General features: G+C 33.1%; 1 long non-coding RNA gene and 1 other non-coding gene across 2 annotated transcripts; one reads left to right on the top strand and one right to left on the bottom strand.

Annotated features, from left to right (window-relative positions):
- Positions 1-2,739: 2,739 nt before the first annotated feature.
- On the bottom strand, positions 2,740-2,869 carry LOC124900349 (small nucleolar RNA SNORA31). Its single transcript, XR_007064402.1, has one exon. It is a non-coding gene; the product is annotated as a small nucleolar RNA SNORA31 (small nucleolar RNA).
- Positions 2,870-3,992: 1,123 nt separating this feature from the next.
- On the top strand, positions 3,993-13,686 carry LRFN5-DT (LRFN5 divergent transcript). The gene is made up of 2 exons (XR_001750740.3): positions 3,993-6,641; positions 9,044-13,686. It is a non-coding gene; the product is annotated as an LRFN5 divergent transcript (long non-coding RNA).
- Positions 13,687-15,316: the final 1,630 nt, after the last annotated feature.

Raw genomic sequence — 15,316 nt, 5'->3', positions numbered from 1 at the left:
TGCTTTAGGATTAGGTACCTCCTGATATAGACTTCATTCACTAAGATATATTTTCACTCTCCAGTTTTCTTTCACATTAAAAAGTTCAACGTATCTAGAACGGAACAAAACGGAGAAAGCAAAGAATAAAGGTAAACTCTAAGTTAATAGTTATTCAGTAATACATAAACAATTCTCTGTATGTTATGTAGAAAAGCTTTTTTCAAAACTAAACACTCTATTTTCAAAAACATTGTCTTACATTCCACAGAGAAGTTTATTTTATACTTTTAATAAGATGAGGGTAAATGAATGATTTATTAAAAAGACAAGTAGTAATGTGAAAAACATGCACATACCCCCAGGCACATATGATGGATCTTTATAATACACTAAGGTTTTATTTTTCAATTTGGTAAATGGTGAGATGCAGTTTTAAATCAACTTTTTCTAAAATGTGAAAATGCTCATAATGTAAAAAATAAAAAATTTACTAATTTTGAAATAGACCCTTATGTGAGGCAGTGAACTAGAATAAGGCAGTTTCTTTTTCTACTGACCTCATCTTGGAAACTTTGATTGGATTCAGTAGTACTACTGAATTTAGTAAAAATTTAGAAAATTGCCAGTGAGCTATGAGATGGATTCCTCGACCTCAACTCATTTCTGCTTATTGTGTTGTCTTTATAATATGCAACTAGGTTCTCTTTCTTGCTTTTGTTATTTAAAAACTTCTGATTTATCCTTGGTAAGAGGATTCTTACTCGACATGTTATTAAAAGTGTGTATAAATGTGATTGCTACACTGCCCTGAGCTTCTAGTCTCTAAGTATGGGATAGCCTTGCAGGAACAGTCACGGAACAGTGGCACCGCTGGAGCTGTAACACTGCCTCCTCAATAAAGCTGTTTTCTTCTCCCTCTGGCTTGCCCTTGAATTCTTTCCTGGGCAAAGCCAAGAACCCTGGCTGGCTTAGCCCCACTTCAGGGCTTGCCTGCCCTTCATCAGAATGACTCTTCTTAGAATTGCAGAATTAGAAGAGTACCTCTTTGAATAGTTAGGAAAGAAGCTTCTGGAAAATGTTGCACAGAACACTACAGTGTAAGTTGAAACTTACAGTGAAACTTTAAATGTAAAGAAGAAAAACAATATGTGTAGAGTGGCCATGGCTACACTAGTTTATGTAAATGTGAAAACATTCTTCTTGTAAAAATATGCAAGGTGATTTTATAATTATAGAGCAAATGTTTAGTTCAAGTGGCAACTACTCTTTGAAAGCTAATATTGCTTTCCCTGAAAATATTTTTCTGTTTTTTGAAATGTATAAAGTCTTGGACACTTTCTTGATTGTAAACTCTCTCCCACTGGGGCTGATTTGCTTTTTTTTTTTTTTTTTTTTTTTGAGACGGAGCCTTGCTCTGTTGCCCAGGCTGGAGTGCAGTGGTGCGATCTCAGCTCACTGCAAGCTCCGCCTCCTGGGTTCACGCCATTTTCCTGCCTCAGCCTCCCAAGTAGCTGGGACTACAGGCACCGGCCACCACGCCTGGTTAACTTTTTGTGTTCTTAGTAGAGACGGGGTTTCACCGTGTTAGCCAGGATGGTCTCAATCTCCTGACCTCGTGATCTGCCCTCCTTGGTCTCCCAAAGTGCTGGGATTACAGGCGTGAGTCACCGCGCCCAGTCTTTTATTTTTATTTATTTATTTATTTTGCCTTAGTGCAATGCATCTACGCCATGGTATACACTAAGAAGTGAAAGCTCAGATTGAAAGGCAACATTGATGAGTGCAACCCATTAAAAAAAAAAACAGATTTGAACAAAGTTGTTGAACTTTGGAAAAGAAAATGAGTGAATATCATCCGCAAGGTACTGAAGTGTGTCTGTAGTTTCAGCTATAACCCAGTCTGCAAATTCAGAGTCTCACATTCTATGTAGATCACATTTGTATAAGGTGGTAAGTTTTTTTAAATGTAGTCAGTACAAAGAATCCTTAAATTTATGTTTTGTCTTTTCAAATTTATTATTTATTATTTCATCTCTTAAGTGTTGCAATGCATAAGATAGTGTGCCAGGCTTTTTTTTTTAACCATTGGTTTTGTGATAATCAAACACCTGCCTAAATCTCTCCTCTTTGATTTTAATATTAACTAGAGCCATATGTTTATATACATAAAATTTACATGGAACATATTGTTCAATAGGGGTAGATCATATTTTAAAATATGTTTTTGTTTTATTTGTCCTAAGCTAATAACTGTAAAATAAGTGAAACAAAATACCTGACTTTAAGAAACTGCAATCCAAGACAATCAGAAGTCTTTTAAATTTAGCAATCATGATAAAAAGGCAACTGATTATTCCCTGTTCTGATTCTGGTAGTGGTTCTTTTTCAGGCTTCATAAGCATGAACTAATGATGAAACAATCTTGATACACAATCTATTAAGCTTAACTCCAACTGAATAAGTACTTTATCAAATCTGACATTTAATTGTACTATATCTCTGATTTAGTCAAAATTATAATGACATAATTCACATTTACTATTAATTTAACATATAGCCCCTGTGATTTATATTTATGTTACTATAATCAAAATGTTTTGTTGGTATTTACAGCCTAAGAAGATGAAAAGTACTTTATAAATATATTTTTAATTCAAATTTTAGATTACTTTATTGGAATAAAACAAAATATTTGCTGTTTACAAGATTATTTCTGTGTCATGAACATTATCTCCCTCCCAGCCATGTTTCTGGAATTACTGTCCTACCTGATTTAATCTTAGCTGTCACAATCAGACAGACAGAAAGTGTGGGACACTTTTCTTGCATCTGTAGTGGAAACTTTAACAGCATCCAGTAACTGCTGCAGGTCTGTCAGATAAATAAATACATGATTAATTGCATTTTTTTATTTATGCTTATACAAAAAGTAATATATGCCTTTAAACATTAATATGAATGCATGCAGGTCAGTAATAATTACAAATTAGTCCATTTATTCATATTTGGAAATGCTTGAATTTCCCAAGAATAAAAATTTAAAGTTAAAAAGGAATTTTTAGATCAGGTATTTCAACTGCTATTTTTAAGCTTAGTAAAACAAAAACAAAACAAAACAAAACTGATGCCCAAAGACTGTAAGCTTGGAGAGAAGTAGAGAAACGAATGAATCACAACTAGACTATCCTGACTCCTTCTCTTAGCTCTCCAAAGCATATTAATGAGATTCCTTGTTGTGATGAACAGAGATTCACCCACATTTAGAGAAAAGAAGTTTGTTTTAAAAATACTTATGGAATTTGAGTAGGAAAAGATAAATTACAGTTCTAAGTAAACATAGTAATATGTGTCACAATTTGAAGTGCTGTGAAGAGAATCATTAATCTAAACAGGACAGAATTTATGAGTTTCTTCACAATTAAATCAGGTGCAGTAAGAATTATAATAATTTTTCAATTGTATTCTGTCTTGAAGAGGAAGTGAATTGGATTATGGATTAAAACATAGGCCAGTGGATATTCATTAGGCTCCTGAAACCTAGCTGTACCTTGCATTAAACCTATAATTTTCTGAGTATAGGCAGATCATAATAAGCAAATCAATGCTAGATAAATAATGAAGTGTTCTTTTCCATCAACAATGACCTCATATTCTGGAATGAAAAAAAGAAAGACATAAGTAAATGAGATAGAGTAGAATAAATGGGTATGTGTGTGTCAGTGTGAGTGTGTGAGTGTGTTTGTGTATTACAAAAAAAGGAAGTAATAAACTATGTGGCAGATCAGGGAAGGTTTGCAAAAGTGGACACTTCAGTTGGGTCTGAAAATATAAGTAGGGATGACCCACACAGTGAGGTAGAAAAGGGTATTTTAGGCAGCAAGAATGACATGAACCAAATAGAAAGGTACAAGGCAGTAGGCACACAGGATAATGTGAGGTTAGGCTCTGTTGTGTTTTTGTTTGTTTGTTTTTTCTTTTTTAACTTTGATTTTAAGTTCTGGGATGCATGTGCAGGTGTGTTACATAGGTAAACTTATGTCATGGGGGTTTGTTTTACAGACTATTTCATCACCCAGGCATTAAGCCTACTACCCTTTAGTTATTTTTCCTGAACTTCTCCCTCCTCCTACCCTCCTCTCTCTGATGGGCCCAGGTGTGTGTAGTTCCCCTTTATGTGTCCATGTGTTCTCATCATTTAGCTCCCACTTATAAATGAGAACATGCAGTATTTGGTTTTCTGTTCTTGCATTAGTTTACTAAGGATAATGGCCTCCAGCTCCATCCATGTCCCAGCAAAAGACATGATCTCATTTTTTTATGGCTATGTACCATTCCATACTATATATGTACCACATTTTCTTCATCCAATCTACTGTTGGTGGACATTTAGGTTGATTCCATGCCTTTGTTATTGTGAATAGTGCTGCAATAAACATACACATGCATGTGTCTTCATAACAGAATGATTTATATTCCTTTGGGTATATACCCAATAATGGGATTGCTGGATCAAATGATATTTCTGTCTTTAGGTCTTTGAGGAATTGCTGCACTGTCTTCCACAATGTACTAATTTACACTCCCACCAGTAGTGTGTAAGCATTCCTTTTCTTCCACAACATCAACAGCATCTTTTTCTTTTTTCTTTTTGGACTCTTTAATAATAACCATTCTGACTGATGTGAGATGGTATCATTGTGGTTTTGATTTGTATTTCTCCAATGATGAATAATATTGGGCTTTTTAATCATATGATTGTGGGCCACATGTATATCTTCTCTTGAAAAGTGTCTGTTCATGTCCTTTGCTCATGTTCTGATGAGATTCCTTATTTTTTTCTTGTAAATTTGTTTAAGTTCCTTAAAGATGCTGAATATTAGACCTTTGTCAGATGCATAGTTTGCAAAAATTTTCTCCCATTCTGTAGGTTGTCTGTTTACTCTGTTGATAGTTTCTTTGTACTGTGCAGAAGCTCTGTAATTTAATAAGATCCCATTTGTCAATTTTTACTTCTATTGCAATTGCTGTTGGCATCTTCATCATAAAGTCTTTGCACATGCCTATGTCCTGAATAGTATTGCTTAGCTTGTCTTCCAGGGTTTTTATAGTTTTGGGTTTTACGGTTAAGTAATCCCTCTTGAGTTAATTTTTGCATACAGTATAAGGAAGGAGTTCAGTTTCAATCTTCTGCATATGGCTAGCCAGTTATCCCAGCACTGTTTATCTAATAGGGAATCCTTTCCTCATTGCTTGTTTTTGTCAGGTTTGTTGAAGATCAGATAGTTGTAGCATGCAGCCTTATTTTTGGGGTCTCCATTCTGTTCCATTGGTCTATGTGTCCTTCTGTACCAGTACCATGGTATTTTGTTTACTGTAGCCTTGGACTACAGCTTGAAGTTGAGTAGCATGATGTCTCCAGCTTGTTATTTTTGCTTAGAACTGCCTTGGCTATTCAGGCTCTTTTTTGATTCCATATGAATTTTAAAATAATATTTTCTAGTTCTTTGAAAAATCCCAATGGTAGTTTAATAGGAACAGCACTGAATCTATACATTTCTTTTAACAATATTGATTCTTCCTACTCAATAGCATGAAGTGTTTTTCCATTTGTTTGTGTCATCTCTGATTGCTCTGAGCAGTGTTTTGTAGTTCTCCTTGTAGAGGTCTTTCACCTTCCCTAGTTAGCTATATTCCTAGGTGTTTTATTCTTTTTGTAGCAATTGTGAATGGGAGTACGCTCCTGATTTGGCTCTCAGCTTTACTGTTGGTGTATAGGAATGCTAGTGATTTTTGCTTATTGATTTTGTATCTTGAGACTTTGTCGAGATTGTTTATCAGCTTAAGAAGCTATTGGGCTGAGGCTATGGGGTTTTGTAGATATAGGATCATGGCGTCTGCAAAAAGAGATAGTTTGATTTCCTATTTGGATGCCCTTTATTTCTTTCTTTTGCCTGATTGCCCTGGTCAGGAATTCCAAAACTATGTTGGTTTTTTTGTTTTGTTTTGTTTTGTTTTACTTTTTAACATTTATTTTAAGTTCAGGGGACATGTGCAGGTTTGTTACATAGGTAAACTTGTCATGGGGGTTTGTTGTACAGATTATTTCATCACCCAAGTATTAAGCTTGGTACTCCTTAGTTATTTTTCCTGATCCTCTGATACTGATCCTCCTCCCACTTTCTACCCTCCAAAAGGCCCTAGTGTGTGTTGTTCCCCTCTGTGTGTCCATATGTTCTTATTATTTAGCTGATAGGCTGGATAAAGAAAATGTGGTATTTCCTCAATACTATGTTGAATAGGGATGGTGAGAGAGGGCATTCTTGTCTTGTTCCAGTTTTCAAGAAGAATGCTTCAAGCTTTTGCCCATTTATTGTCATATGATATTGGCTGTGGGTTTTTATTTATTTATGGTTCTTATCATTTTGAGGCCTGGTTCTAGACGTAGAGTGATTTGCATACTTTACCAAGGAGTTTTACCTCATCTGATAATCAGCAGGGAGCTAGTAAATGGTTTCATGCAGAATAATAAATATAGGTTTCTATTTTAGAAGGAATAATCCTGCAGCAATATGGAAGATGGAGGTATGGCTAAGGATGAATGAAAAAAAAAAAAGACTTCCTAAAGGAAAATCAAAGTAGTTTCAGCAGCAAATAAAAGGGTATGACTATGAATTGAGGGGGAAATATTGGATTTTAAAGTTTATAATTATATATATATATATATATATATAAAAATATATAATTATATATATATATAAATATATAATTATATATAGCTGCTTCTGTTATTTTTGCTTATATTTTGTTTATAACAAAAAAATTGTTATATTTGCTTCTGTAAGGGCAATGTGCAGCATCAAGACAAGGTGCAAAAGTGGAAAGGTTAGTGGATGTGTATAAACAGACCAAACATGAAGAGGAACCTTGATTTATAACAACCTCCTCTCAAAGTAACTAATCTAGTTTCTCAAGAATAAAATATGACTCCCATGTGATAGTATTAATCTATTCATGAGGGATTCACTGCCCTGACCCAAACAGCTCCCACTAGGTCCCATCTTCCAATATTGTTTCTTTGGCAATTAAATTTCAGCATTAGTTTTGGTGCAGACAAATCACATCCAATTCATAGTCCATGATATTAAAAGCTAAGGCCTTTGGGAGGTGATTAGGTTATGAGGGCAGAGTCCTCATGAATGGGACTTGTGTCCTTATAAAAGAGGCCTCAAATACGAAAAAAATTTCTTTGTCCTTTCTGTCATATGAGAACACAATCAGGTCTCTATCTATGAAAAAAACAACCTTCACCAAACAATGCGTCTGCTAGGACCTTGATCTTGGGCTTCCCAGCCTCAAGAACTGTGAGAAATCAATAGTAGTACGTCGTTTATGAGCCACTCAGTTTATGGTATTTTCTTATGGTAACACAAAGGAAGTAAGACAAAAGTAAATAAATTGCTGAAGCAAGATACCTAAGGAGTTTGTAGGGTATCCTATCTAGTAGAGATTAACTCTAAGCAGAAGAAGGAACACTTCTTTCTAAAAGAATAACAGAAGCTGCTACATATTGTCTTGTCCAAGCTCTTTCATAAATATTTCCATTTATTTTTGTATGACTTTTCTTACTGATATTTTAAATTAAATTTAGGATGATGGAATGTGGTGAAATTTTTAAATGTCTTAATTTTGAGAAACAAAGGTCCTGTGATAGATGTATTATTATAACAAGCCACGTAAGAAAAATCTGTAAGCAAATGAGTGGTTGACAACTATTTTTGAAAACTAAATAAATGATAAAACACAATAAAAATTCAATTTAGAAACTAACAAAATAAAACAAAACAGTTCAAGCACACTGTGGTTTCCCCTCACCAATTATCAGAATTTTTAGTAGACTTTGGATAGGTATAGGTCTTTCTTCTAACAGTACAAACACTTTGATTCCAAGGACAAATACTTTATGGATAAATATTAACATTATGTGAGTATTATTTTATAATATAGGAAATAGCAACTTCAGAATAGTTGTTTGACTTGCTGAATATCAGAAGATATCCAAATTATTTTTAATACAATCTGAGCTCTTCGTGTTTTCCATTATGCGGGTCAACTAGTTGAGGATAATAACCTCAATAAGATTTCAATTATACTTCTTAAAAGTACTGAGGTTTACTAACTAGCATTCATGTGTCAAAGATTTGGGTGATTTGTCAGTGTCGGTGTGGTTACCATTGATAAAATCAATACTTAGAACACTTGCACTTTTAGAGCAGCAGTTCACAAAGTGTGGTCCTTAGAATGCCATATTTTTAGAAGTGCAGATTCTCAGGTCTACCCAAGATCTACTGGACTAGAAACTCAGGAATCTGTTTTAACAAGCCTTCCAGGTGATTCTGTGCTTCTTATATTTTGAGAACCACTATTTTTAAGGCTAGAACTTACCTACAATAAATAGTAAAAGGACCAACTGATGAAAAACAGATATTCCAAATTTATATTACTTTCATTTAAATATTAAACAATTTTCATTTTTTTGAATTGTAAAGCACATCTTATATTTTTGTATGCTTTGTCGAAGATCAGTTGGTTGTAAGTATTTGGCTTTATTTCTGGGTTCTCTATTATGTTCCATTGGTTTACTTTCCTATTTTTATACCAGTACCATGCTGTTTTGGTTACTATGGCCTTGTAGCACAATTGGTAATGTGATGCCTCTAAATTTGTTCTTTTTGCTTAGTATTGCTTTGGCTATTCATGCTCATTTTTTGTTCCATATGAATTTTAGGAGGTTTTTGGTTTTTTATTTTTTGGTTCTGTGAAGAAAGATGATGGTATTCTGTTCAGAATTGCATTGAATCTGTAGATTGCTTTGGACAGTATGGTCATTTTCACAATATCAGTTCTTTCCATCCATGATCTTGGGATGTGTTTCCATTTGTTTGTATTATCTGTGATATCTTTCAGCAGTTTTTTTTTGTTTGTTTTTTTTTTGGTAATTTTTCTTGTAGAGATCTTTCACACCCTTGGTTAAGTATATGTCTAAGTATCTTTTCTTTTGCAGCAAAGAAACATATATTGGGGAAAGGATACTGTATTCAGTAAATTGTGCTGGAAAAAGTGGTAAGCCACATGTAGAAGAATGAAACTGGATCCCCAGCTCTCACCTAATACAAAAATCGACTCAAGATGCATCAAAGACTTAAATATAAAACCTGAAACCTTGAAAATTCTAGAAGATAACACCAGAAAAACTCTTCTAAATGTTGGCTTACGCAAAGAATTCATGACTAAGACACCAAAAGAAAATGCAACAAAAACAAAAATAAATAAATGGGACTCAATTAAACTGAAAAGATTTTGCACACCAAATAAATAATCAGAAGAATAAACAGAAAACCCACAGAATGGAAGAAAATATTCACCAACTATGCATCTGACAAAGGACTAGTATCCAGAATTTACAAGGAACTCAAACAAATAAATGAATTCAAATATCCCATTAAAAAGTGTGCAAAGGACATGAATAGACAATTGTCAAAAGAAGATATACAAACAGCCAATAAACATAAAAAAAAATACAGCATCGCTAGTCACCAGGGAAATGCAAATTAAAACCACAGTGAGATTCCACCTTACTCCCGCAAGAATGTCCACAATTAAAAAGTCAGAAAACAATAGATGTTGGCATGGATTTGGTGAAAATCACATCAGTGAATACAGATTTGGGAAGAAATGTGCATAACTGGTTTCAGCTAGCCAACACGCTGGTCCCAGTATACCACTGGCTACGGCATTCTAAAAGTGTCCTCATATGTATCTATTAAATATTCAAGAACTTTGACCAATATATTCTCTGCCAAATGCTCTCAAGAAATCTTGGTGGAGATGGTGTCGGGGTAAGGTGGGGGTTTTTCCGAAATGGAATCATGTTAATGTGGACTTAATGTTAAAATATGAATTTTCAAAAAAATTTGCTTTACTTTCAGTAGGCTAAATACCTACATAGTAAAATTTAAAAAAATCTGTAATTCTCTCTTAATTTATTCATTATACTATTATATGTGGTAGGCATTTTTTTCCTGGCTCTCATATCATTTGTGTTTGTTTTATACTAATGAAATACAGAAAAACTCTGTAGTATATAGAGCCCAATGGAACTTTTAAGAGTGAGAATTTTAATTTGTATATTATGGAAAAGTCATCTCAGAAATATTAGTTTATAAATATGCAGATACAATTTCTAGAATGTCAAAAAATAATCCTTTCACCTGAGTTGTCTTAAGTAAATAACTTTTAGGATTTTTAATTGGATTATTTATGTAATCATTATAAAGGAGATCTGAGGTAAATTGCTTAAGCATTTTCTTTAGCTTTTTGCAAGACTAAAAATGGAGAATAAATATTTGCTCAAATATCGAGTCAAACTAATTTTGAAGAGAAATCTCTAAATACTTTATTAAATGACCAAAATATAAGAAAATGTTTAAAAAGACTGCAAATAGAAACACATCAGTTTAAAGCACACAAAGAGATAAGTGGAAAAAGTATTTTCTCAGAACATGCTAAAAAAAACTTAGAATATCCAGGATACTGCATTTATTCATCCTTACAACATGAATTTTAAATATCTTAGCGACTGTGCTATCATTTTCAGTGTTCTGTATGAATTCTTACCTTCTCAGAAGATTATGTAGATATAACAGATACTTCTGGAATATATATCCATGATAAGATTTGTCTTTTTACAGGAGAAAAGAAAATATATCAAGTCCAACAGAACTTAAGAAAATACAATTTAATTAACTTTATATGATATAGGCCTTGTTAATATTATATATCAAAAAAGAATTCTAGTTTATATTCTTTTGTCTGTAAGATGGGGGAGCTGTTGCATTATAAAAAATACTGGTCAGTTCCATTCCTCTAAGCATTTTCTTTTGATTAAAATCATTTGTAGTAAAAATGATGACCCAAACCTTTGTAAATGATATTTTAGCTGGGTTATAATCTAATGAAATTGTGATTTTAAAAGTGCTTCAATTACTACAACTATAAAATCTTGGTTTACTAGGAATATGTATAAGGTGAAGTATCCATTATTTCTTTAACATCAGTATATATTGTTTAACATTCTGCTTTTGGGCTAAGACTTCCTAGGCTTTACAGAAGAGAAGTTGTTTATCTGAACAGTGTAAAAATATGTGTGTGTGTGTGTGTGTGTGTGTGTGTGTATGTGTATAAAAATATATGTTCTGTTGTTATTTAGTTATGTCTTCCCTGAAAACACTGATAGATCCAACAAGTCTCTTGATTCCTCTTAAAGATAAGCAAGAAGAAGAATAAAGTATGTCACACTTAAACTTGAGTAAATCCAAGTTGGAAAAACAGAAGCAGATTTTTTTTTAATCCTACAGGATGAATGTTGAGAGAGACAAAAATATTAACACCACATAAATTATAACCTAGAGAAATTCTAAACCAGGTTGAAAACCTACGCATAAGCAGTCAATAATTATCTTACACTTATGCAATACAATTTTTTATTACAGAAAGAACTTTAGTAATTACCTCATGCTGTATATATGGGAAAGGAGATAAGGAAGAAAAACTCTTTATAGTATGCAATTAGTTATCTCCTGCCTTATCTTGGTATTTGTAGAAACACTTGGAAGTAGGAAAAGTGAACATTTGTATCCCTGTTCTATAGTTTAAAAAATTGACACACATAAGTTATTTTTAATTTATCCAGTTAATCACCAGTAATCATGATGCTTTATGAATGACAATTCTTTTATATTTATTCAAAAATATGGGGAAAATAAATGACATCTGCCTATATAACTTAAAATTCTTGAAGAAAATGTGTATAGGAATAACTTGGTATGAAATGTTATAGAAATGTTAGTTCTTTGTCTCTTATAGTTACAGTAAGTGGCTAATCATCATGTCTACGTTTATGTATAATTTATTTACATTTTAAAATGTTCTAACCTTGAATACATAGGGAACAAATATCTGATGATAGGTGTTTGCAAGGCAGCATCAGTGATTTTTCTTGATATTTTATCTGAAATATCTGAGTATCTACTAGGAATCTAACATGGAAAGGTAATTACATATGATGTTGGAAGCAAATTTGTATACACCCTATTTATGGCCAAGCAAAACAGTGTAATGTGTCTGAGCATGTATGTGTTCCTTTCACCAGTTTTCTTGTGGTAGAATTTATAAAACTGCATATATTCACAATGTACAATGTGATGGTTTGACGTATATATACATTGTGAAATAATTACCACAATCAAGTCAATGAACACATTCATCACCTCAGCGTTTTCTAAAATTACATTTATCAAACTGTATTTGAAAGTAAATGTGTTTTCTCATTGTTAACCACGACTTTAAAACTTTATTACAGATTAATGTTAAGAAAGCTACTGAAATTAATTTTAGTAATAAAACATCTGAATATACACCATGAAATGTATAAATGTATGTGCTGATTTTAGGAGTACAACTAAATAAGTAATGCAAACTTACTTGCAGGATCATCACTTTAACTCTGTCTCTCTCTCTCTCTCTCTCTTTATATATATGTCTCTCTCATATATATGATATATCTTATACATCTAACTATATATATGTAGAGGAAGAAAGAGACACTATAGAGTAATACAACCTTTCCATTAACTGCATATAAAGTCAGCCTTATAATAATGCCCCTGGATTATCTGACCCTTTAATAAAATGTTATACATATTTAGAGACTTGGATTGTGCCTGTTTTTACTAACAGTTGTTATTTAAAATATTATTAGTAAGTTAATTCATATAAACCATGCAGAGAAGCTGTATAACTGTGCATATAAATAGTGAAGAGAAACTGATCTGGCATTCAGGGATGTTGAGATTATTCCAACTCCGCTGCCAATTGGCTGTGTGTCTTTGGAGAGGTCACATAATATCTCCGAGCTATAGTTTCCTTATCAGTAACATAGACTAGATGATTTTTAAAATTTCACTCAGCACATAATTTGATCTCTAACTTAAAAGAGCTGGAATAAAAATCACCACTAAAAATTATTAGCGTTACTATGGTTGTACTTTGTTTTTATACATTACAGGCATTAAAAACTACCTAGAGTTAATTAGTATTCGACAAAATTATTTCTTACAAATCTTACGCTATTCTGTAACGCATGGGTCTAATATGTATTTAATGTAGCTTTCGTACAACTGCAAAAACTTCAAAGCATATCTGAACTTGTGGGTTTTGTAAGACTTGAACGCTATAAATGAAAGTAATGGAAATTTTATTATATTCTATTATCGATTGTGTGATTAGAGTTGTTGAGTGGTAACTCAGTGTCTCATGTGTGTGAAAGAGAGAGAAATGATGACAGTTGTAAAAGCCTAAGATACACAAGACAGAATAGTGGTTAGGATCATAAGCTTGGAAATTAGAACCGATATTTTACTTCCAGTGTCTGCCACATCTCAGTGGTATGACTTTGGGAAAGTAGTTTAATTTCTCTGAGTTACTTCATCTGTAGTATGCAGATTACAATAGCCACCGCACAGTGGGTATAAAGATGAGTAAGGTTATATTTTTGAACACGTAGAAGAGTATCTGACATACAATAAGTGTGTACCGTTAAAGTATACTTAAACAAAATTTAATATTAATAAAAGCTATATATAGGTATATGGTTTTCACTTTTTGTTGTTGTTGTTATTATTGTTTTTCTTCAGTGCTGGGAAAACTGGCTAGCCATATGTAGAAAGCTGAGACTGGATCCCTTCCTTACACCTTATACAAAAATTAATTCAAGATGGATTAAAGACTTAAACATTAGACCTAAAACCATAAAAACCCTAGAAGAAACCTAGGCAATACCATTCAGGACATAGGCATGGGCAAGGACTTCATGTCTAAAACACCAAAAGCAATGGCAACAAAAGCCAAAACTGACAAATGGGATCTAATTAAAGTAAAGAGCTTCTGCACAGCAAAAGAAACTACCATCAGAGTGAACAGGCAACCTACAGAATGGGAGAACATTTTTGCAATCTATTCATCTGACAAAGGGCTAATATCCAGAATCTACAATTAACTCAAACAAATTTACAAGAAAAAATCAAACAACCCCATCAAAAAGTGGGCAAAGGATATGAACAGACACTTCTCAAAAGAAGACATTTATGCAGTCAACAGACATATGAAAAAACGCACATCATCACTGGCCATCAGAGAAATGCAAATCAAAACCACAATGAGATACCATCTCACACCAGTTAGAATGGTGATCATTAAAAAGTCAGGAAACAACAGGTGCTGGAGAGGATGTGGAGAAATAGGAACACTTTTACACTGTTGGTGGGACTGTAAACTAGTTCAACCATTGTGGAAGTCAGTGTGGTGATTCCTCAGGGATCTAGAACTAGAAATACTATTTGACCCAGCCATCCCATTACTGGGTATATACTAAAAGGATTATAAAACATGCTGCTATAAAGACACATGCACATGTATGTTTATTGTGGCACATATACACAAATGTCCAACAATGTCCAACAAATGATAGACTGGTTTAAGAAAATGTGGCACATGTACACCATGTAATACTATGCAGCCATAAAATGGATGAGTTCATGTCCTTTGTAGGGACATGGATGAAGCTGGAAACCACCATTCTCAGCAAACTATCGCAAGGACAAAAAACCAAACACTGCATGTTCTCACTCATAGGTGGGAATTGAACAATGAGAACACATGGACACAGGAAGGGGAACATCACACACAGGTGCCTGTTGTGGAGTTGGGGGAGGGGGTAGGGATAGAATTAGGAGATATACGTAAGGTTAAATGACGAGTTAATGGGTGCAGCACACCAACATGGCACATGTATACATATGTAGCTAACCTGCAAGTTATGCACATGTACCCTAAAACTTAAAGTATAATTAAAATAAAAGAAAATCTGCAAATATTTAAAATAAAAAAAGAAAAAGTATAAATTCATCCTAAATTTATAAATTATTGCTTTAGTCCTGAAGGTCTCTCTCCCAACCATAAATATTATTTTATTATATATCTGAATGAACAATAATTTTCATATTTTCATTCTTTCATAAAAATATAAAAAACAATACTAATATTTTGTTTGAATGTCTTTAATAAAACATTGCCTTTTGTTTATTTAGATTACACTGCATTTTGTTGAATCACTAAGGAAACAACTTAAAAAATTCAGACTTAAGCCTCTAACAGCCACAAGAATGTGTTTAAATTAACCAGCCACCAGATATGTTTGACAAACGTCTACTTCCAAACC

This window comes from Homo sapiens, chromosome 14, assembly GCF_000001405.40.
Source record: "Homo sapiens chromosome 14, GRCh38.p14 Primary Assembly".
Classification (NCBI taxonomy): Eukaryota; Metazoa; Chordata; class Mammalia; order Primates; family Hominidae; genus Homo; species Homo sapiens.
Note: the sequence above shows the minus strand (reverse complement) of the source record. Positions and strands in the feature narration are given on the sequence as shown.